General features: G+C 44.5%; 1 protein-coding gene and 1 long non-coding RNA gene across 3 annotated transcripts; both read left to right on the top strand.

The window, feature by feature from the left end:
* Positions 1-9,824: 9,824 nt before the first annotated feature.
* LOC105376698 (uncharacterized) lies at positions 9,825-12,792 on the top strand. Its single transcript, XR_931974.3, has 3 exons — positions 9,825-9,944; positions 11,609-11,963; positions 12,649-12,792. It is a non-coding gene; the product is annotated as an uncharacterized LOC105376698 (long non-coding RNA).
* Positions 12,793-17,508: 4,716 nt separating this feature from the next.
* Positions 17,509-27,170, top strand: GOLGA6L26 (golgin A6 family like 26). 2 transcript variants are annotated; one of them, XM_017022778.2, is made up of 10 exons: positions 17,509-17,689; positions 19,336-19,464; positions 20,550-20,600; positions 20,689-20,782; positions 20,878-20,984; positions 22,363-22,421; positions 22,752-22,893; positions 23,547-24,770; positions 25,154-25,222; positions 25,427-27,170. In XM_017022778.2, exons 1-10 carry the CDS (start codon positions 17,564-17,566, stop codon positions 25,448-25,450), a joined length of 2,025 nt encoding a protein of 674 aa, XP_016878267.1. In that variant the 5' UTR covers positions 17,509-17,563; the 3' UTR covers positions 25,451-27,170. The 2 variants fall into 2 exon arrangements, with proteins under 2 accessions (XP_016878267.1, NP_001369375.2); NM_001382446.2 differs by lacking the exon at positions 25,154-25,222.
* The last annotated feature ends 88 nt before the right edge of the window (positions 27,171-27,258 follow it).

Below are 27,258 nucleotides of genomic sequence, written 5' to 3'. Positions count from 1 at the left end.
ATATCTATTTATATATAAAAATATATATACACACACACATACATACACACACACATCTATATGTAGTTATGTGTGTGTGTATATATAGTTACAGTTTTGGCCAGGTGCAATGGCTGACACCTGTAATCTCAGCACTTTGGGAGACCAAGGCTGAAGGCTTGCTTGAGGCCAGGAGTTTGAGACCAGCCTGGGCAACGAAGCAAGACCCTATCTCTACAATTTTTTTTTTTAAACAAAATTAGCCAGGGATGATGGCATGCACTTGTAGTCCCAGATACTTGGGAGGCTGAGGCGGAGGATCCCTTGAGCCCAGGAGTTCAAAGCTGCAATGGGCTGTTACTGTGCCACTGGATCCCAGTCTGAGCAACAGAGCAAGACTTTGTCTCAAAAACAAAATTTATAGTTATAGTTTTATGAACCTTGACTGCAACTGAGGGAAAATCCCGTAATTGGCAAAATGAATTCTGCCTGCTTGCAAAACTTCTGACTAATACGGAATGAATAATAGGAAGCCCATATTAGAGGATCCACATCAGTTAAAAAGTTTCCAAATAAGAGTGACTCTGAGTTCTGCAGAGTGAAAAGATTGGGTTCAAACCAAACACTTGCAAGATCTTGAGTAAGATACTTAATCCCTCTGTGACTCACTGTTCTCAAATGTAAGTGAAGATAATTTGTAACTCAAAAAAAATGAAAAAGTTTTCTCTAAGATTGCAAATCCTAAGGATAATTTCATTTTAATATCAGTTATTTAGTCTGGATACACCATAATGCAGACTAATTTTCCCTCTGCTTAAAGACCACACAAAAACATTACCAATAAAATTTACTTGTGTATCAACTTTTACTCCTGAGACTTCATCGTTTGTTTGGTTAAAAAAAAAAAAAAAAAAGCGCACTAGACCGGGCACAGTGGCCCATGTCTGTGATCTCACTTGCGGAGGCCAAGGCAGGTGGATGAGTTTGAGAACAACCTGGGCAACATGGAAAAACCCCGTCTCTACAAAAAAAATATATAAAAATTAGTCAGGTGTGGTGGCACATAACTGTGGTCCCAGCTACTCCAGAGAGTGAGGCGGGAGGATTGCTTGAGCCCACGCAGAGGTTGCAGTGAACCAAGATGGCACCACTGCACTCCAGCCTGGGTGACAGAGCAAGACCCTGTCTCAAAAAAAAAAAAATCACTATAAAATTGAAATTCACAACAAAATGTGCATACTTAACCTTCTTTTTATTTATTTATTTATTTATTTTTAATATTTTGAGACAACATCTTGCTATGTTGCCTAGGCTGGTCTTGAACTCCTGGGTTCAAACCATCCTCCAGTCTTGACTTCCCAAAGTACTGGGACTACAGGTGTGAGCCACCAGCCCCGCCAGCCCTGTTACACTATTCTTGGCCCCTCAAGTGACTGTATGAATTTTAGGATCAGCCTCTCGAGTTCCACAAAAAAATTCTATTGGGATTTGTGTAGGAATTTCTTGAATTTATAGATTAATTTGTTGAGAAGTAGTATGTTTATAGCATTGAGTCCTACGATTCATAATATATATGGCATATATTTCAGTTTAGTCAGTTCTCCCTTTAAGTCCCTGGGTAATTTTTATATTTGTCTTAGTCCCTTCATAGTGCCATAACAAAACACCTGAGACTGGGTAATTTACACAGAGCAGAAGTTTATTTTCTCAGTTCTGGAGGTTGGGAAGAACAAGATCAAGACTCCAGCAGACACAGTGTCTAGTGAGGGCCTGGTCTCTGCTTCCAAGATGGTACGTTGAATGCTGCTTCCTCTGGAGCAGGCAAATGCTATGTTCTCATGAGGCAGAAGGGACAGATTTACCACCACCCACAAGCCCTTTTATAAGGAAGGCACTAATCTCATGCATGAGGGCTCACCCTTATGTCTTAATCACTTCTTAAAGGCCCCACTTCTTAGTACTATCATCTTGGGAATTAAGTTTTAATACATGAATTTTGGGAGACACATTCAGGCTATGGCAATACTCTTCATGAAAGGCCTGTGTATACTTTGCTAGATATATTCTCAGGGTTTTGTTGCTATTGTCAATAGAATCTCTTTTTTTTTTTTTTTTTTGCCACGGAGTCTGGCTCCTTTGCCCAGGCTGGAGTGCAGTGGCGTGATCTCGGCTCACTGCAAGCTCTGCCCCTCCAGGTTTAAGCAGCCTGTTGCCCAGGCTGGAATGCAGTAGCATAGTCATAGTTCAATACAGCCTCAAACTCCTGGGCCCAAATGATTCTCTAAGCTAATATTTTTAATTTTTTAGAGATGGAGTTTCATTCAAGGATCACTAAAGGCCAGTGATCCTCCCGCCTCAGCTTCTGAAATTGCTGGGATTACAGGTGTGATTGAGCCATGGAGCCTGGCCAGACATGGGCTATTGATTCTCGCTGTTACTCTTTTCCCTTTCCTTCTAATCCTTGTATTGGGAAGAAAACAGTATGGAAATTTTATTTCTTCATTTTATTGATACGTAGATCTCTGCTTAGAAGACAATTTTAGTTTTAAATTATAAATGTTTCGTTCATTATTCATAGAAAACTAGATTTGCCATGGGATATTTATAAGTGTTGCACGAATGAAGGGTTTTCTAGTCAAATAAGTTGAAACACATTACGTTAAACAAACTTGGACAGTTTTGTTTCCGGTCATTTTTAGAGTTCTAAATTATGATTCTACTCAAGAGGATATTGTATGCGGTATTTTCAAACCAACTCATCCTGCGTCAGGTTGTGGTTACGCTTTGGGAGAGGAAGCTATAATCTTATACTGAGACTGTAATGAATGTATTAAGGTAATTTTCGTAGCTTTCTCTTTTTGGAGTTACCTGAGAAATTATGACACCCTTTTCCAAACAGGCCAACCTGCTTTGCAAACACGATTTCCATAATTTTAACAATGGTGAGGCCAGGCACGGTGGCTCATACCTGTAATTCCTTCCAGCACTTTGGGAAGCCTAGGCAGGAGGATCACTTAAGCCAGGAGTTCAATACCAGCCTGGGCAACATGGCAAAAACTCATCTCTACAAAAAATACACATATTAGCCAGGCGTGGTGGCACACACCTATAGTCTCAGCTACTCAGAGGTTGAGGTGGGAAAATTGCTTCAGCTCAGGAGCTCGAGGCTGCAGTGAACGGTGATCACGCCACTGCACTCCAGCCTGGGTGACAGAGCAAGACCCTGTCTCAAAAACAAACAAAACAAAACACAAACCAAGGGTGAGAGAGATGTTAGATGTTTTTGTCCTTGTTACAGATGTAAATGCTCAGTTGGAAAGAGGGAAGTATTTAGAGTGAAAAACTTTCGGTGGAACACACACAAAAATAGGAAGATCAGGTATAACTGTTCCAAAAAAAAGAGTATGGCAGTATAGAAGAAAAGGTCTCCATGAAAATGCAGAAGAACAATTTCACAGCTGGTGCTGGCATTTCAGAGACCTTGAGCTGGGAATCAAAAGATGGGAATTTCAGTCTCGGATGTGCCACTCCTTAGAGGTTTAATATCTACTAAACCCGGCGGGCTCCACTTGGTGGTGTTTGCTATTTAAAAAAACAAAAACATGTGGCAATGATCTTCCACGTGATTCTGACTTGAGCCCCACCCGAGTCTGCAGACTTACCCTTCCACTGCTTTGCCCTTCAAGTTTGTGCCCATTAGCAAAGAGAAATTTTCTCTTTGGGATCACTGCTGTGTTGATCTCAGGAATATTTGGCGTTGAATTTAACATATTTTTCATATGTGTGTGCAATAGGGAGGCTGAGAAACTTGTCTTTTTTTTAAGGTGTTCATTTTTGGGGTACAGGTAGCAGCCTGCTCTACAATCCACACAGAAGCTGGAAATAGCCTCTAGAGAATTTCCACGTTTAGAGAAGATAAATTTATACATTTGTATCTAATCAACATTTTTTAGCTAACATAGTAGTCTAATTATACTATGTATAATTATACTATGTATAATTATGGGTACTGAAATGACACCTGGCATATGCTGTATGCTGTGTTATATATACATATATATTTACACATATACATATATATTACACATATACATATATATTTACACATATATATTTACACATATACATATATATTTACACATATACATATATTTACATATTTTACATTTACATTTTACATTTATTTTACATTTTACATTTACATTTGACATTCTACATTTATTTTACATTTACATATTTTACATTTACAAATATTTACATATTTTACATTTATATATACATATATTTACATACATATATTTACGTACATATTTTTACATACATATTTACATGTGTATATATTTACATACATTCACATACATATTTACATATATATTTACATACATACATATTTACATAATATTTACATACACATATTACATACATATATGTACACATATACATATATTTACACATATACATATACTATGTATAATTATGGGTACTGAAATGACACCTGGCATATGCTGTATTTAAAAATGTGAGGTTCAGTGAGAACACATGGACACAGGAAGGGAAACAACACATACTGGGGCCTGTCAGGGCGGGTGGGGGAGGAGCATCAGGAAAAATAGCTAATGCGTGCTGGGCTTAACACTGAGGTGATGAGTTGATAGGTGGACCAAACCACCATGGCACACGTTTCCCTACGTAACACTCCTGCACATGTACCCTAGAACTTAAAACAAAATTTTAAAAATAATAAAAAATAAAAATGTGAAATTCAGCACATAAACTGTTGGTTTTATTATTCATATTTTCTTAATTCAGAAATTATTTTCTGAACTATGGTTTATTAGATAATTTTGACGTAACAATTTTTTAAGAGGAAATTTAAGTTTTACTTTTTAATTGGGGCTCTTGGTTCTTTTTAAGAAAGACAGAGATAAATCATTTATACATTTAATTAGAAGAGACTGGGCTTGAATTTTTAAAAAGTACTAGAAATCATAGCCACTATATATGTTATCTTTGAAATGTTTTAGACACTAATTACCTAAACAAGGAGCAAATAAGTTAAACCTCTTGGATTTTAATAAGAACTAAAATGTACAGTTGTATTTTCTGGTTTTTTAAATTGTTACAGTCTAAATTTATTCTTCCTAATGAAGAAATGTATGTGCCGTCAATATCAGGTTCTTTGTGGGTACTCACAGTTCCCTTTGCCTTTTACGCAGTGAATGTGGGCAACATGCGTGGAACAGAAATGATGTCGTTTTCTTTCTTTTGAATATCACTATGAATCTAATAATTCAAAGATTCCTAACTTTCTGAATGCCATTATTAATTGGATTCACAATGACTTACCAGGTACAGAGTTGTCCCGTGTGTCTTGGGGTGAACTACTGAGAGTGGTATGAGGGAAGCGATTCTCAGCTAGCGCTGAGTGGGGCCACTTCCAAAGAGGTGATGGGGTAAGAAGCACACACAATGTGGCATTTTCACTGCAAAGGGAGGTTTGTGCTGCCTCTCCTCCTGTGGCAGGTCTGCTCGCAGGGGAGGCTCCAAAGTTTGGCTTTGCTGGGTTTGGCATGTGAGAACTGATGAAATATCTGTATGTAGTATCTTTCAAGGATTTATATCAGTTGGATTTCTGTGTAAATTTGCATATCCCTTTGACTGCTTTACCCCATAGAAGCTTTGTATGCTTAACAAAATCTGTAACTTTTCTGTCACTTTCTCATTTAGCATCTGCCTTTCTGGCTTTTTACTTTATCTTTTTATTATTGTTTTTAGTTTAATGAGATTATGGTTAGAGAGAAAGATGGGTGCATGATTCCGCTTCTTTGGAATTTGTTGAGATTTTCCTTATGGCTCAGTACATATGTACTTGGGGGGGTGAATGCTGTCACTTTGGAGAGATATGTTTTTTCTGTACATTAAGTCAAGCTTGTTAATTTTCTAGAGAGATGTAAATCTTCTATGTCTATGCTGATTGTTTTTTGTCTCTTTTATCAGACACTGAGATATGTATTTAAATTGCCCTCTGAGGGTTGCAATTTTGTCATATTTTGCTTTCATGTATTTTGAGTGCTAGTTATTAGATACATTAACATTTTAGATTACCTTCTCCCTTGGTTTATTAGAATTTTTATCATTATATTGTGGCCTTAAAAAATCTCCCATATTGCTTTTTGCCCAAAGCCTATTTTATCTGATAATAATATAGCTTCCAACCCTTCTTTGGGTTAGGTACATATGACAGGTGTATCTTTTTTCAATCTCTCTCAGTCTTTCTGTGACTTTATGTTTTAGATGTCTTTTCATACTGTTTATTTTCTGTTTTTTGTGTTTTTTTGTGTGTTTTTTTTTTTTGATACGGAGTCTTGCTCTGTTGCCCAGGCTGGAGTGTAATGGTGTGATCTCGGCACTGCAACCTCTGCCTCCTGGATTCAAGCGATTCTCCTGCCTCAGCCTCCTGAGTAACTGGGATTACAGATGTTCACCACCACGCCGGCTAATTTTTGTATTAGCAGAGATGGGGTTTCACCATGTTGGTCAGGCTGCTCTCGAACTCCTGACCTTGTGATCCCTCCGCCTGCCTCATCCTCCCAAAGTGCTGGGATTACAGGCATGAGCCACCACGCGTGCCCTAATTCTGTTTTATAGTCATTTTCTCTTAATTATTCAGTCTATTTACATTTATTGTGATTGTTGGCATAGTTTCTTTTATAACTTTCATCGTATTTTGTGCTATTTGTTCCATCTGTTTTTATTTCTTCATGTCTTTTTTGTTTCGTTTTTGCTAATTCCTTTTATATTCATGGTTATTCTGCTCTTGAAATGTATGCTATGTGAATATATTTGTGAGTTGACAATACTTTATTAGCAATTAAATATACTATTTCTCTTTTTTTTTAGAACTTGCTCAAATGTTACATAACCTCAATATCCTTAGTATCTAAATTAAACTGACTTTCTGAACAATCATCATTTTAAGGCAGTTACCACGATCTACTAAAAAATAAAAAAAAATTAGCCGGGAGTGGTGGTGGGCGCCTGTAATCCCAGCTACTCAGGAGGCTGAGGCAGGAGAATCCCTTGACCCTGGGAGGCAGAGGCTGCAGTGAGCCGAGATAGCGCCACTGCACTCCAGCCTGGGCGACAGAGAGACTCCGTCTCAAAAAAATAATAATAATAATAATAATAAAGGAATTTAAAAAAAGACTGGGTTTAACCATGTTGCCCAGGCCGGTCTGGAACTCCTAGGCTCAAGCAATCCCCCACGCTTGGCCAGTCCAAAGTCCTGGAATCAAAAGCGTGAACCACCACGCCAGGCCGATCACGCCTGTCATCCCAGCACTTGGGGAGGCGGAGGTGGGTGGATCACCGGAGGTCAGGAATTTGAGACCAGCCTGGCCAACATGATGAAAACCCGTCTCTACTAAAAATACAAAAAAAAAAATTAGCCGGGTGTGGCGGCAGGCGCCTGTAATCCCAGCTACTCAGGAGGCTGAGGCAGGAGAACCACCAAAACCCGGGATGCAGAATTTGCCGCGAGCGGAGACCCAGCCACTGCACTCCAGCCTGGGCAACAAGAAGGAAACTCCGCCTCAAAAAAAAAAAAAATAATAATAATAAGAGACAGATTTTCACCATGTTGCCCAGGCAGGTCTGGAACTCTTAGGCTCAAGCAATTCCCCACGCTCGGTTGTCCAAAGTCCTGGGATCGAAAGCGTGAGCCACCACGCCAGGCTGATCTATTTCTTTCTGATTAATAAATTGGGCCGGGAGCGGTGGCTCACGCCTGCAGTCCCAGCACCCCGGGAGGCCGTGGCGGGCGGATCACCTGAGGTCGGGAGTTTGAGACCAGCCTGACCAACATGGAGAGACCTGTCTCTACCAGAAAAAAAAAAAAAAAAAAAAAAGAGCCGGGCATGGTGGCTCCCGCCTGCAATCCCAGTCACTCGGAGGCTGAGGCAGGAGAACCACCCAAACCCAGAGGCAGAGGCCGCGGGGAGCCGACACCGCACCACTGCACTCCAGCCCTGCAACAAGAGGGAAACTACGCCTCAAAAAAAAAAAAAGAGAGAGAGAGACCGGTTTTCACCATGTTGCCCAGGCTGGTCTAGAACTCCTAGGATCAAGGGATCCGCCACGCTCGGCCGGTCCAAACTCCTGGGATCAAAAGCGTGAGCCACCACGCCAGGCCGATCCTTCCTGTCATCCCAGCACTTTGGGAGGCCGAGGTGGGTTTACCTGAGGTCCGGAGTTCGAGACCAGCCTGGCCAACATGATGAAAACCCATCTCTACTAAAAATACAAAAAAAAAAAAAAAAAAATTAGATGGGTGTGCTAGCGGGTGCCTGTAATCTCAGCTACTCAGGCGGCTGAGGCAGGAGAATCGCTTGAACCTGGGAGGCAGAGGTTGCAGTGAGCCGAGACAGCGCACCACTGCACTCCAGCCTGGGTGACAAAGTGAGACTCCGTCTCAAAAGTATATATATATAAAAATAAAAAATGAAATAAAAATAAATTGGGTGTGTGCGCTGGCTCACGCCTGCAATTCCAGCATCCCCGGAGGCCGAGGTGGGCGGATAACCTGAGGTCTGGAGTTTGAGATCAGCTTGCCCAGCATGGAGAAACCCCGTCTCTACCAAAAACAAATAAAAAAAAATTAGCAGAGCAATGTTGGTCAGGCCTGCAATCCCAGCCACTCCGGAGACTGAGGCAGGAGAACTACTAAAACCCTGGAGGCAGAAGTCGCTGCGAGCGGAGACCCAGCCACTGCACTCCACCCTGGGCAACAAGAGCGAAACTCCGCCTCAAAAAAAAAAAGAGAGAGAGAGAGAGAGAGAGACCGGGTTTCACCATGTTGCCCAGGCAGGTCTGGAACTCCTAGGCTCAAGGGATACCCCGCGCTGGGCCATCCGAAGTACTGGGATCACAAGCGTGAGCCACCACACCAGGACGATCTATTCCTTTCTGATTAATAAGTTGGGCCGGGAGCGGTGGCTCAAGCCTGCAATCCTAGCACCTCGGGAGGCCTAGGCAGGTGGATCACCTGAGGTCGGGAGTTTGAGACCAGCCTGACCAACAGGGAGAAACCCCATCTGTACCAAAATAAAAATAAAAAAAAAATACAAAATTAGCCGGGCTTGGTGGCTTATGCCTGCAATCCCAGCCACTCTGGAGGCTGATGCAGGACAACGACCGAAACCCGGGAGGCGGAAGTCGCGGCAAGCAGAGACCCAGCCACTGCATTCCAGCCTGGGCAACAAGAGCGAAACTCCGTCTCAAAACAACACAAAACAAAAAGACCAGGTTTCACCATGTTGCCCAGGCCTGTCTGGAACTCCAAGGCACAAGCGATCCACCCTACTTGGCCGTCCAAAGTCCTGGGATCACAAGAGTGAGCCACCACGCCAGGCAGATCAAAGCGTTGAGCTGAATAAAGAGTTATCTTTTAGCATTTTGTGGAGCCCGGGTAGATCTGTGCAGGGGGAAGCATATTACAGAAGCGAGAAACAGAGAGTTATTTAATTGAAGCACGCATTATGTTTTTTTTTTTTTTACGTTTTTAGGAAAAATATGTTTTGTGACTTGCATTTGTTTGTTTAGTGACCTTGCAGTTGCACAGTTAGGGAATTAGGGTTTTGATAATGCCTGGGAAGGGAGCGATAAGGCTCACTAGCCATAGGAAAACAGGTAGTTTTTTTAAAGGACTAAGGCTCTTTCTCATTCTCAGGGGGAATTGGGTTTTTTTTACATACAGCTGAGTTTTTGCTTACACATTTTTTCATTTCTTTTAATTCCTGTTCCAATCCCAGCATCCTTGCGGTGCGGTTTCCCAGCGGCTCTCTTGCCTTGCAGCTTGTGTCGGGAGTTGCAGACAGCCATGGCCCATGGGCCTGGCGCTGACGGACCCTGGAGCGGTGTCTGAGGGAGGTGGGCAAAGCCACTGGCTGGCCCGAGTGCATCCTCACGTAAGTGCACAGATCCCGGGCTCGGGTGCGACTGCGGTCGCACGTGGACACGGGTTGCAGACCCCTGGCAAATTGTGGAGCTGGGGGAAGGTAAGGGGAAATGTAAATCACTTTTCCCCACATTTCAGAGGACCTAGGCTATCAAAATTTTAAAAATTGTTAAAACTTTTACAGTATGGATCTCTCAGTTGAATGTTATTGAAATCAACCTAACCTCAGTTATTCACGCCTATAAGCTCCCCTTGAGGCTTATTACGGCCCCCATCCCCCTACACACAACTGTGTTGGTTTCTCCTTCCGCCTGTGCTCCTAAAGCACTCAGTGTTTACCTGCCATCATACTTTATTGAAAGCACAAACTTGTCACTTGTCTGTCTACCCCACTAAGCTTCTTGAGAATTAGAACTTTCATGTCTCTTCCCAACACAAACGTTTTATGTGTATTTTGTTGAAGAACTTCAAATATGACCTATAAAATTATGACTCATTTATGTTTCAAACTCCAACCTCTCCCTTGAGTTCCTTGCTCACAAGCAACTCCAGACTGAGCTTAGTTGGAATTCAGTAGCGCACAACTGGGATATCCGCACCGTACGGCTTTTAACAATTTTTTAAATTTTGGTCCTCTCAGCATCACAAATTCACCGTGTCCAAAATACAGTAGAATGTTGTTTCTACCCACCTACACTCTGCCATCCGCTGAAGTCCTTTCCCCTTGCTCCACCACTCAAGCCTTGCCTATCGCAGTAAATGGCAGTTCTGTCTCTCCAGTTGCTCGCACATAAAACTAGGCTGCTATTTTGATGTCTTCACTTTTCTCTATTCTGTATCTAATTCCTTAGCAATCCTGTCAGTTCTACCTCCAAACTGTACTCAGCATATTCACTGCTCTAACTCCAGCTTAAATCACCATCATCCTTTGCCTGGAATGCTGCATCAACCTTCTAATCACTCTACTTTCCTCCTCCTCCTTCCTCCCTTTCTTCTTCCTTCGTATAAATCATCATTTCATCCTTCTGCTTAAAATCTTCTCACATTTTCTTATTACACTTAAAACGGCAAACTCTTACCCTTGAGCCCTGCAGAATTTGGCTCCCATCAGTCTCTCCGACTTCACCTTCTGCCTCCTTCACGCTATAGCCATGCTCACTTTTTTATTCCTCAGGCTTACCAAGCTCAATTGCATCTTAGAGAATTTGTTCTTGCTGTTTCTTCTGCCTGGAATACATGTTTCCCAATCTTTATAAGACTATACTTGTCTGTAAGTTTCACCTCAGATGTCACATCTAGGAGAGGTTTTCCTTGACCACTGTAAGCCAAAGCAAATGTTGATCATTGAGTGAATAAGGGAATGAATGAATGGAGTGGTATATAATGTAGCAGAGTAGAAAATTTAAGGCTAATTCTCTATACATCTCCAAGCAAATAGATTTGTAATGCTTTTCCTGCCAACAATCTATACAGCTGATTCACAAATACTTGGTTGACAGGTTTTATATATCACTGTGGCTCATCAGCTTATATATTGTTGGGGCCAGAATCTATACTTACACTTTATTCAAATTTGATTTTACAGAAGAGTTGAGGTTTTTATTTTTCTTTTAATTAAGAGGGCTGTGAAATTATTATCTATAATTCTAAATCTCATTTAATTCCTCCCAATAGGTTTCAAGCTGGATTGGAACCAAAGTTCACTTCTTTAACGAAAGTGCTTTATGACTTTAATAAAACAGTAGAGAATGGTAGAATCCATGGCAGCTCTTTACAAAAACTTGTGATAGAAAGTTTTGATGATGAGCAGACTTTGCAACAACTGGAATTGCAAAATGAAGCAATTTTACAGTGCTTCCAGAATGCGGTTAGTGAAAGAAAGATGAAGATATCAGTCTTCTCCCAGAGAGTGAAGAACAGGAGCATGAAGAGGCTGGTTCAGAAACAGAGGCTGATGGCCAGGAGGACCTAGAAGATTTAGAGGAGGAGGAGGACGTGTCAGATATGGGTGGTGACAATCCTGAAATGGGTGAGAGAGCTAAAAACTCAAGCAAATTCAGGGCCAGGCGCGGTGGCTCACGCCTGTAATCCCAGCACTTTGGGAGGCCGAGGCAGGCGGATCACGAGGTCAGGAGATCGAGACCATCCTGGCTAACAAGGTGAAACCCCATCTCCACTAAACATACAAAAAATTAGCCAGGCGTGGTGGCAGGTGCCTGTAGTCCCAGCTACTCGGGAGGCTGAGGCAGGAGAATGCCATGAACCCGGGAGGTGGAGCTTGCAGTGAGCCTAGATCACGCCACTGCAGTCCAGCTGGGCGGCAGAGTGAGAGACTGCATCTCAAAAACAAAAACAACAATTACTTAACTTTAGGATGCTCCAATAATCAAAATTGATAGTGGCTTGTGAACAGATAGATTACTTGAATAGAATAGAGCCCAGAAATAAACCCAAATGCTTCTGGGGGAGTTTGGTACATTATAAACATGACATTTTAAATCAATGAGGAAAAGAAATCATTTGCAGCTCACCCCACCATACACAGCAGGAATAGGAAGTCATTGGCAGAATAAAAAGATGGTAAGAACAGAACAGAATTGTAGAACAGTACATTTCTTGCTTCCCCACTTTTCAAAGTATTTTTTGCTTTTTCACAAATGTAAGTGTAATTTTATTTTCTAAATGTATACTAATTCTTTTCTTCTCTTTCTTAGATGAATGACAAAAATTACATCTTTAGAAAAAGAGTTGTTAGAAAAAAGCCTTGGCTGCATGTGGGGGAAGTGACAGCACAGAAGAGACCAGAGAAGAGCCTCCTGGAGGAGAGCCTGCACTTTGACCATGCTGTCCGGATGGGTGCAGTGCTCTTTTCTGCAAAGTGTTCACTTCTCTGCTTTTTCTGTGGTCCCATTTCATAGAAAGATTTGGGGTGATGTTTCTTTCCCTCAACTTTTATTTTGAAAACTTGCAAACACAGAAAAGTTGATAAAATCATACAGTGAACATCTGTATGCTATTCAACTGGATTCACTAGTTAATGTTTTGTCACACTTGTTTTCTGTCTTCTGCGTATGGAAGATTGTATATGTGCCCTTTTTCCCCCTGAATCATTTCAAAGTAAGTTGGCAGTATCAGAGCATTTCACTGTTAAGTACTTTCGCAGATATCTTCTAGGAACCAGGACTTCTCCTATATAATCACAATACCATTAATCCACCCCCAAAATTTAACATCAATACACTAATGATACCTACTGTATAGATTATAATCAGCTTCCTTGCAGCAATCTGTTTAGAAGGCTTGCATCCTGTCACTGTCCACTGATTAAATTTTGAACTCTAACTTGAAACCCTGGTCATCTCATTGCCTTCTTGCTTATACCCATTAAGTCAAAAGGAGCTCTCATTTTATTTCAACAGAAAAGAGAATGGAAAAGAGGGGAAGAGTCCCTAGTACCTTGGATAAAGTATGAGCACTTACTACCATATGTATTCTAGTTCTGTAGTTTTCAAACTTCAGGGAGCATCTCAAGGCTTATTAAAGCACAGATAGCTGTCCTTCCCCACTTTCTGATTCAGGAGGTGTGGGGCTGGCCCAGGAATTTGCATGTCTAACAAGTTCCCACGTGTTTCTGATGCTGAGGGTGTAAGGACTACAATGCGTGAATCCGTGGTTTAGTGGATCCACCTAATGAATACATGTTGTATTTCCTTTGGCACCCGTGATTACAGAGGAAACACCTTTCAACTGGAAGGTATCATTAAACAGAGGATAAGAGATCAGGTCAGTAAGAATTAAATTTCACTTAATTGAAATGTCACTCAAATGTTTAGAAATAATATGACAGGCCAGGCACAGTGGCTCATGCCTGTAATCCCAGCACTTTGGGAGGCCAAGGCAGACGGATCACTTGAGGTCAGGAGTTCGAGACCAGCCTGTCCAAGATGGTAAAACTTCCTCTCTACTAAAAATACAAAAATTAGCTGGGCATGGTGGTGCATGCCTATAGTCCCAGGTACTCGGGAGGCTGAGGCAGGGGAATCGCTTGATCTCGGGATATGGAGGTTGCAGTGAGCTGAGATGCGCCACCGCACTCCAGCCTGGGCAACAGAGTGAGACTCCATCTCAACATAAATAAATAAATAAATAAATAAATAAATAAATAAATAAATAAATAAATAAGATAAAAATAAAAATAAAGGGAAGATGGGGCAGCTTTGTGTATTGCATGTCCTGAAAATGGGCTGATTTCTCTCAAGAGGCAGGGATTTAAGCTCTGTAGCCTATGTGGGATACATACAGGAGAAAAAAGAAGAAAAAGAAAAGAAATGTAAATATAAATAAATGAAAATAACACTTTTCCATGATTATAAAGGAAATCACATTGTTTTTGTAATAATTTGGATGACAAAATGTAAAGAAAAATCTTTAATTTTGCCACTCAAAACATTCCGGTTTGTTGCTTTTCACACTTTTTATGCTGTAAACATTTTAAAAAGTAGAATCACAATACATGGTCTTTTGTCACTTACTATATTTTAAGCATGTTTCTATGGAGAAATATACCCTGGCATCATCACTGGATGTATGTTAAGTGAGTCATTGCCACCCCAGAGGTGGATTTCCTTCTATATATATTTTAATGGACTCGAGTCAGGATTTTTGCACTGAATTCATAGAAGTAGAATTTCTAGAGGAAAGTAATATAAAACAGTTTTAGGATTTTTAAAAGAAATGTTCAAATCATCCTACAGGAAAATTGGTTGAGTTTATGCTCCCACCAACAGGGACAGAGCTCCAGGTTCCCCCTTCCATTTGTCATCTTCGCTGGTCTTTAAGCAGAAAATCTCATTGTTTTCATTACCTTTCTTTGATTTCTAGTGCTTTTGAATCTTTTTCATTTGCTCATTGGCCATTTTTATTCTTGTGGGAAGTGCTGGTTTCTCCATTGCCCATTTTCTGCTGCAAATCATTCATTTTTTTTTCTGAGTAATTTTAAAGATTTCTTTATAGGCTAAGGCTACAAACCTTTAATCTGTCATTGAGGTTACAAAGATCTTCTCCCAGTAAGTAATTTGTCACTTCACTTTATTTATTTATTTTTTGCTAGCAAAGCACCAAAGTCAAATTTCACTTAATTTTTATCCTGCTGAATGAACACATTTTAAGTTAGTGATTTTAGTGGAAACAGGAGCAGGACAGAATGTAATAATTAGATCTCGCTCTGTCACCCCAACTGGAGTGCAGTGGCATGATCATAGCTACTGCAGCCTCAAACTTCTGGGCTCAAGTGATTTTCCCACCTCAGCCTCCCAAGTAGCTCTAGGACTACAGGTGTGTGCCGCCAAGCCCAGCTAATTTTTAAATTTTCTTTGTAGAGATATGAATTCGCTATGCTGCCCAGGCTGGTCTTTAACTCCTGACTTACCCCACCTTAGCTTGCCAATATGCTGGGAGTACGGGCGTGAACTACTGCTCCCGGCCAAGAGCTTACTTTGGTTTGCTAGCAAGGTTCTTGGTATCTTTTTATATTTGAGGCTTTCGTGCTAGTGCTGAAGTATTACACTCACCATCTGAGGTTTACAGGACTTTTGTTTTAATATTGAACCGAGGGAACTGTTTAGTTTTGCATCTTTGCAGGTATACAAAATGTGCCTACCAGGACTCTGCTTTATATCCATTGAAAAGCAAGAAGTAATACAGTAAAAGTTTGCCTGGCTACAGGCTTTGGAAGAATGGAGTATTCTGGTTTAATTCTATTAACTTGGAAGGATGAAGGTGGAAAAAATTCAAAACTTTAATTTCCTGTTGAATGCAATTTGAAAATATAGCCAATGAGTCCACTTTTCTTCTCTAGTAAGTTTGGACATTCAGATCTACTTGGTCTTTTATCATAGAACTCCTAGTGCGCCTGAGTCTTACGTTGTGAAAATCCTTTTCTAAAACTTTAGATGTAAGAGGATAGAAATGATATTGGATGAGATCAGGCTGGATGAGAACTGATACCTGTAGATATATTTTTTAGATGAAATCTCTGATTGCCACACGTTTTCTTATTGAACTCATAAAAATAAAACACACTGGCTGGAGGGTGGAAGTAGGAAGGAGATTTATGTCTTTTAATTGCATGTCATTGTTTCATATTGAGACAGAACATATAGTATCCCTGGCTTTGGACCTACAGAAGGAAACACATTTTTCTACCTGCTGTATGGCAGAGGTTCCTGAGCACCTGGAGGGATTATTGCAGCACGGATTGCTGGGCCCTACTGCAGAGTTTCTGATTCATTCGTGTCTAGGGTGGGGCCTGAGAATTTACATTTATAAGAAGTTCCCAGGTGCTCCTGGTCCGGAGACTACATGTTTGAGAGCCACCCTTACATACTAACTGTAAATTGTAGAACTCTAGAAAAAAGCGTAGTTTGGACTGGGAGAAGAAGCACACAGGTAATGGAGCAAATCATGAAAAAGTCAACCCTTGATCCCAGGTAACAAGCAATACACAGTGACATAACACAATTCTTGGTTTTCATGATTGCAAGTCATAGCCAAGTATCGAGTGAGAAATTCAGTTTCATTTTCAGGGCTTAGAGGCCAGGTGATTCTAGAAAAATCGGATTTAGTGATTAACTCATGAGAGTAGGAGTTATTTATGTCCTTTTTCTCTCCCCCATCACTTAGCATTTAGCCTTACTTTAGAAGGGTCCTGTATTTGCTTTAACCTTGTAAAGAACTTTGAGTGCTTATTAAATGGAAAGCCTTGTGTGTGTGTGTGTGTGTGTGTGTGTGTGTGTGTGTGTCTGTGCGTGTGTGTGTGTGTGTGTGTGTATTTAGAGACAGAGTCACATTCTGTAGCAGCCCAGGCTGAAGTGCAGTGGCATGATTTTGGCTCACTGCAACCTCTGCCTCACAGGTTCAAGGGATTCTCCTGCCTCAGCCTCCCAAGTAGCTAGGATTACAGGCACCTGCCACCATGCCCAGCTACTTTTGTATTTTTAGTAGAGACAGGATTTCATCATGTTGGCCAGGCTGGTCTTGAACTCCTGAATTCGGGTGATCCACCCGCCCCAGCCTCCCAAAGTGCTGGGATTACAGGCATGAGCCATCACGCCTGGCTCAAAGCTTTGTATTTTTAAAGATATTAGACATGTTTCTTGTTTGTTTGTTTTTTTAAAAAAAACTAAACGCTAATGTAGGAGAATAAGAGAAAGTTTTTCCAAAAAAGAGAAAACATTGTGATTATCTTATTGGAATGTTGGATAATAAAGTCTGCTTTATCAATCATCAAGCACACTATAAAATTTCCATTTTAATAGGACTTGTACCTCAATTGAGGTAATAAAGTTTTAAAGTTTTTAAAGTGAAAGCCAGCCCCGCCCCTCTCCTGGAGTGGGCGGGGACAGCGGTTGCATAGGCAGCTTTCCTTGTGACAACACAGGTCCTTGATGACACGCTGCTGTCTGGCCACACCTCCTTTTCCTTTCATCTTTCTCATTGACCAATGGGCTTCAAGCATGAAGGCCACACCCCTATTCTGCATTCTAGTGCAGCCCTGGTTACGCCTCCTCTGGCTCAGTCACACAGCGACGTAGAGGTGACTGGAGGTATATACTTGTCCTCACCTGGATCATGCTGATGTGGCCCCAACCCCACCTCCCTACCCATCCCCACCTCCCTACCCATCCCCACCTCCCTACCCATCCTATGATGTCCAAAGAAACCAGACAGAGCAAATTGGCCGAGGCCAAGGAACAGGTAAACGCACCAACACCCCAACCCAACCCGAGGCCCCCTCTGACAGCCGAACTGCTGCCAGAGTCTGTGCCACTCCTGAGGGACACCAGGCTGGGCCCCCCACCCCAGTGCCTCTGGGCTCCCCACACCAAAATCTTGTCAGCCAGCCCAACCCCCTCATAAGTCCTGCCCCTGCTCTGCCCGGCACACCAGGGTGACTTTGAGCAGGTGACTCCTGGGGCTTCCAACTCCATACTCCGCCCTTACCTCCTGCTACCCCAAACCCGACCTCCCTGGGCTCCTTGAGCTCACATCTCCAAGGACCTGGGTGCCCCAGAACCTGCCCTCACCAGTTGCCACAGGGTGACTTTGGGGATGTGACTCCTGGAGCTCCTTGCTCCTTAATTGGCCCTCACCTCCTGCCGCCCCAAGCCTGACCTCCCGGGGCTCTTTGGGGTCACGTCTCCAAGGACCTGGCTCCCAATTTTGTGACCCCCTCCCCAGTCTCAAAGCGGCAACTTGGGCATTGCACTCATGTGTCCCCCCCAACCACTCCACCGAGGAGTAGAATGTAGTGATGTCACAGTCCCGCTACAAACTGTCATTACTACCACAAGACCGGCCTTTGGTCTTAGGACCCAGTCCCCTAAGTGTTCTTGCCCACTTCTGTTTCCTCTGGTTGCAGCACAGGTTTCCAGCTGGAAGGGGAATGGGGACTGTGGGACCTAGAAGAGAGAGGTTTCAGGCTGCCTGACTTCCTTACCACAGACCTTGACAGTGTGAAAAGCCTACACCTCCCCCATGAGCTCGACACGTTGACAGTGTCTCTGGGTGGCAATGGGAGAACGGGTTTGGTTTGGTTTTCTCCCAGGCTTCTACTCTCCAGAGAGATTTTAACATTTTTTCTCAGTTCTGCACCTCAGATTTGAATTCTCCATTGTTCTGGGACCAGAGTGCCCCTCAGTCACTGGTTCTGGAGTGAGATCTGCTTATCTTCTGTGGAACAGATCTTGGGAAACTGAACTTAGCTTGAGTCTTCCTCATCTCATCTCAACCTGGGGTACTTTGAGTGCCACAGGATAAATATGGGGCATCTTTCTGAAGCATCAGTTTCCCTTGATTCTATTGAGAGGCAAAACATTAATGTACTTAGGGATGAAAGTCACGTAGATTTATAAGCGTATACAAGACTTCTCTCTGAAATGAGGCTTGGGTTGTCCTCTTTCTGTTAAATTCCCAGATTTAGCAGAAAGGCTGCCTTCTGCCATGAGGAGACATTGATGTAAAGGTTTGAGAGGTACTGGTGTACTTTTTAACACTAACAGACGTGTGAGGGTGAATAACCCTAAACCACATAGTGCACAGTTCCTGCCTACTTAATATTTGCTTTTCTACCTCTGCCTCTGGTTTTGGTCCCTGGCAGCTGCTGATTTAGGGCAAAATCCCAGAGCTCAGAGTCAGAAGACTGAGTTTAAGTTCCATTACTGCCTTTTTTTTCAGCCATGGTATCAATCTCTCTCAGTCACTAAGTGATTGTGACAACATTTCCTACAGTTGGTGGCATTAAATCAGATGGTCTATAAGGGTATTTAGTATAAACTGTAAAGCAGGATGTGACTGTAGGAGCTTGTAGTTCTCATGAGTATCACTGCTCTTCCTTTCCACAGTTGACAGACCATCATCCCCAGACCAACCCTAGTGTTGGTACAGCAGCAAGCGACACCAAAAAGAAGAAAATAAATAATGGCACTAACCCTGAGACAACCACTTCTGGTGGTTGCCACTCGCCTGAGGATGTGAGTCTTGGCTGGCCGGGCTCCTGGGGACAGAGGGCCCAAGGGGTGGTGGAGGGTAATTGTTAAGATTGTGGAAGAACTGCCAGGTACTGGCTAAGAATTCTGGGTTTGAATCCTACCCCTCCATCTGCTAGGGACATGATTTAGCGCAAATTGCTTGAGCTCTTTGGGCCTCTCTTTTCACATCCGTAAAATACGAGTGGTATTGTTTTCCTTACGTTTGTGAAGTTTAAATGAGATTTGTCATTGTGTTTTTATGTTAATCCCTCGTCCAGGACCTGCTGTAAACTCTCCTTCTTGGGCTTGCGTTTCCTGAGGTAGAGTTAGAGAGTATCAGAGGTTTCTGTTAGCTCTGAGAGCCCGAGAGTTAAAGGCCCACTAGAATGGAAACCTCGGGGCCAAGGGCTCCTGTCTGCCTTTTCTGACCTCTATTCCCGCTGTGAAGAACCGTCCCTGGCCCGTATGTGCTCAACGTTTGCTGAGTGAATGCACCTTTCTAAATCACAAGCTGGCGGAAGGGTGGGCTTTTCTCGCACTCCACCTCTGAAGGTTTCTGTTACTGTCTTTTCAAGAGAATCTAGTTTCAGACTTTGAGTTCTGTGGCTGTGGGCAAAAACCAAAAAGACCCAAATCCTTCTTCTTTGGGAGTTGAGGAGAGGTGACCAGTTCATGTTCCCATTGGGTCTGAGAACTGTGCCTTTTAAATCCATTCCTGGCCCCTGCCTATCGCTTCCTGGCCTGGGGAATAGAGTCAAGGGGGCCACCCTCAGTCACCTTCCTTTGACTCTCCCCACAGAAACAATAGAACCGAGCTCAGCTGGAAGAAGTAGTGTGATTTCTTTGCTCACGACATGACCGCTGGGTTTGGGGGCACTCAGATGTAGAGGCCCCAGGCTCATCTCACCCACTCCCAGCCTGGGGAAGAAGGCTCACCCCCAAGATTCCACCCCATCCCCACAGGGTCCCTGATAAACTGGTCCCATGGGTGGGCCTGTTCTGGGGCAGTGGTGCCATTCTGGGGGCATGTCTCTTGCTGTGGATCTCTGCCTCCCCCTAGTAAGAGCTCTGTTTTCCTCTTTCTATAGGAACAGAAGGCAAGCCACCAACATCAGGAAGCCCTAAGGAGGGAGCTAGAGGTGAGTGGAGGGTGTGAAGTTCCCTCCTGCCCTCTGGAGAATGTTTCTTTGCTTCTCTTTCAGCATTTGCTTGTCTTTTCTCCCAAAGGCCCAGGTTCATACCATACGAATCCTTACATGTCAGAAAACTGAGCTTCAGATGGCACTCTACTACAGCCAGCATGCTGTCAAGCAGTTGGAAGGTGGGAATCTGGCACCCCATCATCCTTCAACCTGGCACTTTGACAGGCCTTTAGGGGGAGTCCTTTGGGCCACATCTGAATGTCTCTCATTCCAGGAGAGGCCAGGGATCTGATCAGCCGCCTGCATGATTCATGGAAGTTTGCAGGAGAGTTAGAGCAGGCTCTCTCTGCTGTCGCTACACAGAAGAAGAAGGCGGATAGGGTGAGTCCAAACACGGCCCCGTCCCTTGGGAGCCCAGCTTCGCAGATGGAGGAGTGAGCCTAAAGGTCCCTTCTGTAGGATGGAGTGTCCTGCCCAGAAGGCAGCATGGCCATTTCTTGCTGCTTTTGTGTGTGGTTGTTAGAGGCAGACTGGGGCTGAGTCGGCTGTTGTGGGTGAGTTGGGGAGCACTGTGAGGAGCGAGCACTGGACATAGAGCTCAGAGGCCAAGTGCCCGCCCTGCCCATACTTGGCTGTGGCCTTGGCCAAGTCCTAAGTGGCGGTTAGGGTACTTGTACCATAAAGGTACAGAAGAGTATCTTGAGTATGTTATTATTTGTGTGGAGAGAGGGGGCAGGTGTATATGTGTGTGTGTGTACGTATTATGGTAACATACATAAAACACGTTTGTAAGGATTCATTAAAAAACTCAGGATAGAGGCACAGTGTTGGGGGGAGATATTTCCCTTCTGGACTTTCTGAGTTTTGGACTATGCGAACGTATCATCCTTTCAAAAATTCAACAAAGGATTAATTTCCTCCTTCTTAACTGTGCCCCTACCTCCAGCGGAAGAATGGGCTTAGAGAATCAGATATAGCTGGGTGTTGAAATCCCAGCTCCAAGTGATCTTAGGCAGCACTTAACCTTTAATACCGCATGTTTTTCATCTACACAATAGAGGTAATAATGGTAACCATCTCCTATGGAGGTTGTGAGGATTAAATGGGATTGTTAGCATAGTGCCTGGTGAAGCACTCAAGAAAGGTTCGAACAATGGTAGTACTAACAGTAATAACAATAACAATATTATCTGATCGCTCTGGGCCCCTGTTAGCCAGCTCTAAATTCAATCTCTTTCCCTGTCCCTTCCACATCCACTGAGTTCTTTGAAAAACAAATGAGGGCCAGGTGCTCTCGCTCACGCCTGTAATGCCAGCACTTTGGGAGGCTGAGGTGGGCGGATCACCTGCGGTCAGGAGTTCAAGACTAGACTGACCAACACGAAGAAACCCCGTCTCTACTAAAAATACAAAATTAGCCCGGTGTGGTGGCACATGCCTGTAATCCCAACTACTCGGGAAGCTGAGGCAGGAGAATTGCTTGAACCCAGGAGGTGTAGGTTGTGGTGAGCTGAGATTGTGCCATTGCACTCCAGTGAGGGCAACAAGAATGAAACTCTGCCAAAAAAAAAAAAAAAAAGAAAGAAAGAAAGAAAGAAAAACAAATGAGACCATGGGCTTGGAAATGCCTTGAGAACACGTCAGGTGTGATTGAGAGTGAGGAAGTGTTACTGTGGAGTAGTCACTGTAGCAGTTGTTCCTGGTCGTCCAGCTACTGCTGTGCCTGCTCTATCCTGACTTAACCTTTCTCTATTTGCAGTACATTGAGGAGTTAACAAAGGAGAGGGACGCCCTGAGTCTGGAACTGTACAGGAACACGTAGGATGGGGGAAGGTGGAATGGGAGGTCTGGGGGCCCTTAGCATGGGTGGTGTGCTGGGAGGTGGGGGGTCCAGGTGAGTGTGGGGAGTGGCTCATACATGTTTTCATGTGTGCACACGGAAGCTCTAGTGCTGGCTGTGCCACTGACTCATGGGGTAGCCTCAGGCAACTCATGTCTTCTCTCTGGCCTGCCACCTGGGACTTTTAATTCCTGGGGTCCCTTCCAGCGCCACGGTTCTGTGGTTGTGGGGCGAGGGTAGGGGGTCAATCACCAAAGTGGTCTTTTATGTTCTTCATTCATTCCTTTCTCTACTGCCTCTGGCCATAGCATAACTGATGAGGAGCTGAAGGAGAAAAATGCCAAACTACAAGAAAAACTTCAACTTGTAGAATCTGAAAAGTCTGAGATCCAGCTCAACGTAAAGGAGCTAAAAAGGAAACTGGAGAGGGCCAAGCTCCTGCTGCCACAGGTGAGCAGCTGCAGCCCCGGGGGTTGTGGGAGACCCATCCAGCTGGGACCATGGTCTAGGGATCATGCAGGGTATGGGGAGGCTCCAGCCAAGAGCTGGAAAATTTGGGTCCTTGTTCTGGTCCCGCCATAGAATCCTCTAGAGTGTACTAAAAATGTACAAATTGGGGCCCTGCCTGGGGAATCAGAATCTCAAGAGTTAGGGCTTAAAAATATTTTTTTAAAGGATCATGGATGAAAACCATTATTTTATAGATTACATTTATTTATTTATTTATTTATTTATTTATTTATTTGAGAAGTAGTCTCACTCTGTCACCCAGGCCAGAGTGCAGTGGCGCAATCTCGGCTCACTGCAAGCTCCACCCCCCGGCTTCACGCCATTCTCCTGCCTCAGCCTCCCAAGTAGCTGGGACTACAGGTGCCCACCACCACACCCGGCTAATTTTTTTGTATTTTTAGTAGAGACGGGGTTTCACTGTGTTAACCAGGATGGTCTCGATCTCCTGACCTCGTGATCCGCCCACCTCGGCCTCCCAAAGTGCTGGGATTACAGGCGTGAGCCACCGCTCCCAGCCTATAGATTACATTTATGTGGCTAGCTCATGATTCTGCTTCCTTCTGAGGTTCAAAAAAACACTTTCACTATTCCAGCAGCAGCTGCAGGCGGAGGCTGACCACCTGGGTAAGGAGCTGCAGAGTGTGTCAGCAAAGCTCCAAGCCCAGGTGGAAGAGAACGAGTTGTGGAACCGCCTGAACCAGCAACAGGAGGAGAAGATGTGGAGGCAGGAGGAGAAGATACAGGAGTGGGAGGAGAAGATACAGGAGCAGGAGGAGAAGATACGGGAGCAGGAGGAGAAGATACGGGAGCAGGAGGAGAAGATGCGGAGGCAGGAGGAGATGATGTGGGAGAAGGAGGAGAAGATGCGGAGGCAGGAGGAGATGATGTGGGAGAAGGAGGAGAAGATGCGGAGGCTGGAGGAGATGATGTGGGAGAAGGAGGAGAAGATACGGGAGCTGGAAGAGAAGATGCACGAGCAGGAGAAGATACGGGAGCAGGAAGAGAAGAGGCAGGAGGAGGAGAAGATACGCGAGCAGGAGAAGAGGCAGGAGCAGGAGGCGAAGATGTGGAGGCAGGAGGAGAAGATACGGGAGCAGGAAGAGAAGATACGGGAGCAGGAGAAAAAGATGTGGAGGCAGGAGGAGAAGATTCACGAGCAGGAGAAGATACGGGAGGAGGAGAAGAGGCAGGAGCAGGAGGAGATGTGGAGGCAGGAGGAGAAGATAAGGGAGCAGGAGGAGATATGGAGGCAAAAGGAGAAGATGCACGAGCAGGAGAAGATACGGAAGCAGGAGGAGAAGGTGTGGAGGCAGGAGGAGAAGATGCACGACCAGGAGGAGAAGATACGGGAGCAGGAGGAGAAGATGTGGAGGCAGGAGGAGAAGATAAGGGAGCAGGAGGAGAAGATACGGGAGCAGGAGGAGAAGATACGGGAGCAGGAGGAGAAGATACGAGAGCAGGAGGAGATGATGCAGGAACAGGAAGAGAAGATGGGGGAGCAGGAAGAGAAGATGCAAGAACAGGAGAAGATGCGGAGGCAGGAGGAGAAGATAAGGGAGCAGGAGGAGAAGATACGGGAGCAGAAGGAGAAGATACGAGAGCAGGAGGAGAAGATATGGGAGCAGGAGGAGAAGATACGAGAGCAGGAGGAGATGATGCAGGAACAGGAAGAGAAGATGTGGGAGCAGGAGGAGAAGATGTGTGAGCAGGAAGAGAAGATGCAAGAACAGGAGGAGAAGATGCGGAGGCAGGAGGAGAAGATGTGGGAGCAGGAAGTGAGGCTGCGGCAGCAGGAGGAGAAGATGCAGGAACACCAGGTGAGGCTGCAGGAGCTGGAGGAGAGGCTGGGGAAGCTGGGGCAGAAGGCCGAGCTCTTGGGGGGAGCAGGCGGAGGTGTGTGCAAACCCTGGAGATCATACAGAATGACCTCACCACAACTTAGCAGATGGTGGTTGGCTCCCTCTGCTTTTCCACCAGTCTGTGGCCTACAGTTTAAATGGTGGGAAGAAGGGTGTGAGATTTGAGGCTGGGGAGGGAGGCATGGGCCTCTAGGCAAGGGAGGCAGTCATTTAGGCCTGGAGGAAGGGGCCAGGGCCAGGGGCCTGGGTAGGCGACAGAGCCCCGCAGTGCCCTCACTACCCTGTTTATGGGCCCAGAATCTGGAAGCCAGCCACTACCTACCCTGACGCCTATCCTGCAGGTGGAGCTGAAGAGCCAAGAGGCTGAGTCTGCAGCAGCAGCGAGACCATTACCTGGGTCACCTGCAGCAGTACGTGGCCGCCTATCAGCAGCTGGCCTCTGAGAAGGAGGCACTGCCCAGCTGCAGCAGCAGGAAGCTCAGGGCGAAGCGGTGGCCGAGATGGCCCACCAATAGTTGCAGGAGACCCGGTTGAGGGAGTTGATGAGGGCGGGGCCCCAAGGGGGATGATCTGGCAACCTCCGTGCCTTCTCACTCTCTTTCCTGGCCCCTTAGGAGCACCTGGAAGCTGCCATCTAATGAGCACATGACAAGAAGGCAAAGACAATAAACATGTAAAAGCCGGCAGCAAGGCCTGGAGAAGAGTAAGCCGCCATGTGACTGTTTAGAATATAGTCTGAGCACAAACCTGAAAAAAAAATTTTATTTATTTTAAATTGTGGCAAAATACTGGCCAGGCATGGTAGCTCACGCCTGTAATCCTAGCAATTTGGGAGGCCGAGGTAAATGGATGACCTGAGGTCAAGAGTTCAAGACCAGCCTGGCCAATACAAAAATTAGCCGGGCATGGTGGCGCATGCCTGTAATCCCAGCTACTTGGGAGGCTGAGGCAGGAGAATCGCTTGAACCTGGGAGGCAGAGGTTGCAGTGAGCTGAGATCGTGCCACTGCACTCAAGCCTGGGTGACAGAGCGAAACTCCGTCTCAAAAAAAAAAGTTTCTTCCTTACATGTATGTTTCTATTAGTTTTCTTCTTGGTCTTTCTCATTTAGTCTTGTGTTGTCTTTTGACATTCATAGTAAACTTTTATCTGCCTCCAGAGAGTATTGACTTTGAGTTTATGGCACACAATTGGAGTAAGGGCAGATCGCCTTCATCTACTTTGGGACTAAGCTGGTTCAAAGCAGGTTTTAGGTTTTCTGATGGCTGGTCTATGTTTTATTCATTTGGACTCCCAGGGGTGGCCCTTCCAGGGTCCCCACCAAGGTCCCATCTCCTTCCTGGGACCCAAATTCTCATTAGGTCATTTCAGCCCTGTGAGAGTGCCAAACATTCAGCTAGGCTCTCCAGCCTCTTAACTACCACTTCATACTCAGTTTCTTAGCCTCTTAGCCCTCTACTGTTGACCAATCACCAAATGTGGGAAAGCACTACAGACTGTCAGGATCACCTCCTAGGCCTGGTCACTCAAGTCCTGACTGAGGTCTCCAATTACCTTCCAACAATTGTTTTTGATTGGGGGCGGGGCACATTTTTATCCAGTTTTTCTAACTGCTCTTGTGGGGAGGCGAATCTGTAACAAGCTCCTCTGCCTTTACTGAAAGTTGAAAACCTTCATCTGTCCTTTTTTTGTTGTTGTTGAGATGGAGTCTTGCGCTGTTGCCCAGGCTCTAGTGCAATGGCACGATCTCTGCTCACTGTAACCTCTGCCTCCTGGGTTCAAGCAATTCTCCTGCCTCAGCTTCCCGAGTAGCGTGTGCCACCATGCCTGGCTAATTTTTTTTTATACCTTTAATAGAGGCAGGATGTCACCATGTTTTCCAGGCTGGTCTCGAGCTCCTGACTCAGGTGATCTACCTGCCTCAGCCTCCCAAAGTGCTGGGATTACAAGTATGAGCCACTGCATCCGGCCCATCTGTCTTTTAAAACATGTTTTTAATTGGAGGTATAATTTCTATTAGTGAAATGCACAGGTCTGGTTTACATTTTGATGAGTTTTAACTCATTTAACATTACTATGGAACCCACCTCCTTTGAAGATACAGAGTATTTCTATCATCCAGAAAGTTCTCCTGTGCTTTCATGCTGTCCCGCACTCCCCCAGCAGCTGATGAACATGCTGAGGACATTGGTACTGGATTCTGGCCGCCCCAAAAGAGCCGCTTTGACCAGGCTTACCCAGCACTAAATCCCTGCCTGCTCTCTCAAAATTTCCATCTTTAAACTGGTTGTACCTATAACCCTCCCTCATCAAGTCAATAGATAAACAAACCCTGAAAAATAAACAACTCTTCCTGGCCCAGCAGCCCACAGCCTAATATTTACTGTATTCCCAGGCTTTCAGAAATGTAACTCGCCTGCCGGTTCACCCTCACTAGGGCGGCAGCT

The sequence above is a fragment of the Homo sapiens genome, chromosome 15, assembly GCF_000001405.40.
Source record: "Homo sapiens chromosome 15, GRCh38.p14 Primary Assembly".
NCBI classification, from domain to species: domain Eukaryota; kingdom Metazoa; phylum Chordata; class Mammalia; order Primates; family Hominidae; genus Homo; species Homo sapiens.
This window is presented reverse-complemented; position numbering and strand designations above follow the sequence as displayed.